Source organism: Homo sapiens, chromosome 4 (genome assembly GCF_000001405.40).
Source record: "Homo sapiens chromosome 4, GRCh38.p14 Primary Assembly".
Classification (NCBI taxonomy): domain Eukaryota; kingdom Metazoa; phylum Chordata; class Mammalia; order Primates; family Hominidae; genus Homo; species Homo sapiens.
The window spans coordinates 107923161-107928144 of NC_000004.12; the positions used below are offsets into that span (position 1 = coordinate 107923161).

The 4984-nt window shown below is 39.9% G+C and overlaps 2 long non-coding RNA genes across 2 annotated transcripts in view; both read right to left on the minus strand.

Annotated features, from left to right (window-relative positions):
* CYP2U1-AS1 (CYP2U1 and SGMS2 antisense RNA 1) overlaps nt 1-4984 on the minus strand; it is a 68641-nt gene that overhangs the window by 59682 nt on the left and 3975 nt on the right. The gene's annotated exons all lie outside the window — the stretch shown is intronic.
* The window catches only part of LOC107986298 (uncharacterized), a 75213-nt gene that overhangs the window by 19450 nt on the left and 50779 nt on the right, over nt 1-4984 (minus strand). The window lies entirely within an intron of this gene.

Sequence of the window (4984 nt, forward strand, 5' to 3'; positions counted from 1 at the left end):
CATTCCTTCTCAAAAACTCTTCAGTGATGCACCATCTTACTGAGAGTAAAGATCAACATCTCTAAAATGCCCTACATTGCTACCTCTCTGATTCCATCTCTTACCACCTTTCCCTTCCTCTTTCCACTCTAGCCAGATGGCCTCCTTGTTCCTGGAAAACTCCCAGCACACCTCAGCCTCAGGGCCTTCACACTTACCATTTCTTCTATCTGGAATGCTCTTTCCCCAGGTATCTAAAAGCCGTCCATCAGGTGATCAGCTGTCTATTTAAAAGAGGCCTTCCCTGAACAACCTAAATGAAATAAAACACTCCCCTACACACACATACACACACACACACACACACAGCAATTCCTACCATCCTCTTCGTGTGCCTTATTTCCTCCATAGTACTTATCACCAACTGACATTATACATTTGTCCATCCCTTTCTATATCTTTTGTAGAGATGGAGTTTTACCATGTTGTGCAGGCTGGTCTCAAACTCCTGGGCTTGAGCAATCCACCCACCTCGGCTTCCAAAAGTGCTGGGATTACAGGCTTGAGCCACCATGACTGGCCTGTCCATCTTTTGTCTTCCCCCACTGAAAAGCTCTTCGAAGGGCAAGCACTTTGTTTTGCTTAGATAGTATCTCCAGTGCTGAGAATAGTTCATGACAATTGGTGTGCTCCAGTAAAAATCTATTGATGAAGAGTCTATTCAGTGAAATTACCAGACAGCTATTAAAAAGGATGAGGCTGATGGATACTCACTGGCGTGGCGAGATTCTCAAAATACATTGGTAGGTTAAAAGAGCAGGTTAATTAACCAAAAGTAGAGTGTGATGCCATTTATGGGGGAGCAGGAGGGAAATTATGTAAACATAAGAAATCCGAAAGGATATATCACACTTTTAATACAAGTAACTCCAAGAGGTAGAAAGGCAAAAGGGTGTGTGTGTGTGTGTGTGTGCGCGTGTGTGCATGTGTACACTTTATGTATCAATAGCCTTAGAGGTGTACCAGTTCTTTTTGGTATATTTATCCTACTGAAATAATCAAAGATGTATATATCCCACTATGGTTTATAATAGCAAAAAAACTGTAAGGAGGGTCAATAACTGGCTATTGGTTAAACTTTGAAATATTTTTAAACAATCGACTAGATTTTTTTAAATTCAAGTGTCAGGAAATAAAAGCCTGCAGGCTAAGCACAGCTGCTGCCTTTTTTCTTAAAGCAAATTTTATTGGAAATAGCCATACCCATTTATTTACTTATTGTCAGTGGCTGCTTTCCTGCTCCCACGGCAAGCAGAGTTACACAGTTGTGACAGAGACCATATGGCACACAAAATCTGAAATATTTACTATTTGGTCCTTTTCAGGCAAAGACTGCTGATCCCGGGGCTAGAATATAGTAACTAAAAATGATTTGTGGGAGGCAAGAGGATCACTTGAGGCCAGGAGTTCAAGACCAGCCTGGCTAACATGGCAAAACCTGTCTCTACTAAAAATACAACAACAACAACAACAACAATTACCGAGGTGTGGTGGCACACGCCTATAATCCCAGCTACTTGGGAGGCTGAGGCATGAGAATCAGTTGAACCTGGGAGGTGGAGGTTGCAGTGAGCCAAGATTGTGCCACTGCACTCCAGCCTGGGTGACACAGCAAGACTCTATCTCATAAAATAATAATAATAATAATAATAATAATAATAATAATAATAATAAATTTTTTTAAAAATGAGCCGGGCACAGTGGCTTATGCCTGTAATCCCAGCACTTTGGGAGGCCAAGGCAGGTGGATCATGAGGTCAGGAGTTCGAGACCTGCCTGGCTAACATGGTGAAACCCCATCTCTACTAAAAATACAAAAATTAGCTGGGTGAGGTGGCAGGTGCCTGTAATCCCAGCTACTTGGGAGGCTGAGGCAGGAGACTCACTTGAACATGGGAGGAGGAGGTTGCAGTGAGCCAAGATCGCGCCACTGCACTCCAGCCTGGGTGACAGAGTGAGACTCTGTCTCAAAAAAAAAAAATACCATTCAGGACATAGGCATGGGCAAAGACTTCATGACTAAAACACCAAAAGCAATGGCAACAATAGCCAAAATTGACAAATGGGATCTAATTAAACTAAAGAGCTTCTGGACAGCAAAAGGAACTATCATCAGAGTGAACAAGCAACCTACAGAATGGGAGAAAATTTTTGGAATCTACCCATCTGACAAAGGGCTAATATCCATAATATACAAAGAACTTAAACAAATTTACAAGAAAAAAACAACCCCATCAAAAAGTGGGCAAAGGATATGAACAGACATTTCTCAAAAGAAGACATTTATGCAGCCAACGGACATATGAAAACATGCTCATCATCGCTGGTCATCAGAGAAATGCAAATCAAAACCACAATGAGATACCATCTCACGCCAGTTAGAATGGCGATCATTAAAAGGTCAGGAAACAACAGATGCTGGAGAGGATGTGGAGAAATAGGAACACTTTTACACTGCTGGTGGGACTGTAAAGTAGTTCAACCATTGTGGAAGACAGTGTGGCGATTCCTCAAGGATCTAGAACTAGAAATACCATTTGACCCAGCCATCCCATTACTGGGTATATACCCAAAGGATTATAAATCATGCTACATAAAGACACATGCACACAGTATGTTTATTTGTGGCACTATTCACAATAGCAAAGACTTGGAACCAACCCAAATGACCATCAATGATAGACTGAATTAAGAAAATGTGGCATGTATACACCATGGAATACTATGCAGCCATAAAAAAGGATGAGTTCATGCCCTTTGCAGGGACATGGATGAAGCTGGAAATCATCATTCTAAGCAAACTGTCACAAAGACAGAAAACCAAACACCACATGTTCTCACTCATAGGTGGGAGTTGAACAATGAGAACACATGGACACAGGGCAGGGAACATCACACACTGGGGCCTGTGGAGGGGTTGGGGCTGGGGGAGGGTTAGCATTAGGAGAAATACCTAATGTAAATGATGAGTTGATGGGTGCAGCAAACCAACATGACACATGTATACCTATGTAACAAACCTTCACATTGTGCACACATACCCTAGAACTTAAAGTATTAAAAAAAAAAAAAAGATTTGTGGGAGAACAACATGGAAAATGTTAATGATATCTTTTCATTCATATATTTATAAATATGTGAATATTATAAATAGGAATATTTATAAAGTTTAGAAATACATAAGACTAGAAGAATATATACATAAATGTTATAAATGATTACCTCTGAGTGGTAAGAATAAAAAGGTGATAGTTGGCTCCTTTATAGTTTCCTGCATTTTCAAATTTTCTATGAAAACTGTATTACTCTTTTAAAAAGCAGAATAAAATATTGGCTTTGAAATATCTGGTTTGCAATGAGTATGTTCTTACCTAAAAGAAGAAGTAAGTAACCTTTCAATGTCCTTTCTTTCTAAAACTTCATTCTCAGTGAGGTTTAGAAATAAGACTTCATTATTAGGCAGAGGGCCAAGCACAGTTACCTAAACCAGGAGGTAACAATCTTGTGTTAGTTTTTTTTTTTTTTTTTCTTTTTTGAGACAGAGTCTTGCTTTCTTGCCCAGGGTGGAATGCAGTGGTGTGATCTCAGTTGACTGAAACCTTCGCCTCCAGGGTTCAAGCGGTTCTCCTGCCTCAGCCTCCCAAGAAGCTGGGATTACAGGCATGTGCCACCACGCCCAGCTAATTTTTTTTTTTTTTTTGTATTTTTAGTAGAGACGGAGTTTCACCATGTTTGCCAGGCTGGTCTCGAACTCCTGACCTCCAGTGATCTGCCTGCCTCGGCCTCCCAAAGTACTGGGATTACAGGCATGGGCCACCGTGCCCAACCCCCTTGTGTTAGTTTTATTGAAGTAACTGGCTTACACTTTGCCATGTAAATATAATTTATTCTTTCAGATTTTATTGACTAAGCATGCTGTTAATCAGAGGCCAAAGTCAAAGTCCTAAGAATCCACTTAAGAAGAATGTTAGAGACCAGAGGAATCTAAGAGTCCTTGTGTTATAACTCTCTCTTTTGACCAGATGAAGAAAACAAATCAGAAATGTTAACAGCATAGCCTGGCCAACCCAGTTAGATTTGGACAGAGGTCCCCATGTGGTTTCCACGATGATTTCTGCATAGTAAATGGAAGTAAATGAGGAAGAAATAAGGAACAGAGAATTCAGCAACGCTTTGGCGTACACAAAAATAAAATGTCAGGAATCAGTAACAATTGTGGCCAGGCTAACTAAAGTGACTAACTGTTCCTGTGGGTACCCACCTCACAATAGATTCATCTCATAAATTAAACCTGCTAAGTCTTCTTACTTCACCATGTCTTTTTCGCCAAGATACTGGCTTTTTTAAAAAAATTGTTTTACTGAGGTATAATTTACCTATAGTGAAATGCACAGTTAAGTTTTGACAAGTGCATACATCCAAGTAACCAACACTTCAGTCAAGATATAGAACATTTCTACCACCCTAGAAAAAATTTTCAATTTCCCTTTCCAAACAATCCACCCTGTTCTAATGTCTATCACCATAGGTTCACTTTGTTTGTTCCAGACTTCATATAAATGCAGCTATTTAGTATGTATTCTTGTGCCTGGCTTTTTCACTTGGCATGTTTTTTGATATTTATCCACACTGTAGAGTGTGTCATAACTGATTGATTTTTATTGTGGTGTAGTGAGCTATCAAATAAGTATACCATAGTTTCCCCTTCCCCTGCCCCCCTCTTTTGTTGAAGGACATCTGGATTGTGTTCATTTTGGTGTTAAATAAAAAATGTGTCCTAATCCTGGCACCACCTTGACCAAATAAAGGGATGTTTTCGGAATTGGATTTTGTGACTTTTGAGATTCTGCCTTACACTGTTTTAGATTTTTTTCAGGGGCCTTTCTCCCGTCATCTCTTCTCCAAGTAAATCATACATAATACATGCAAGTGGAGAGGAATGAAG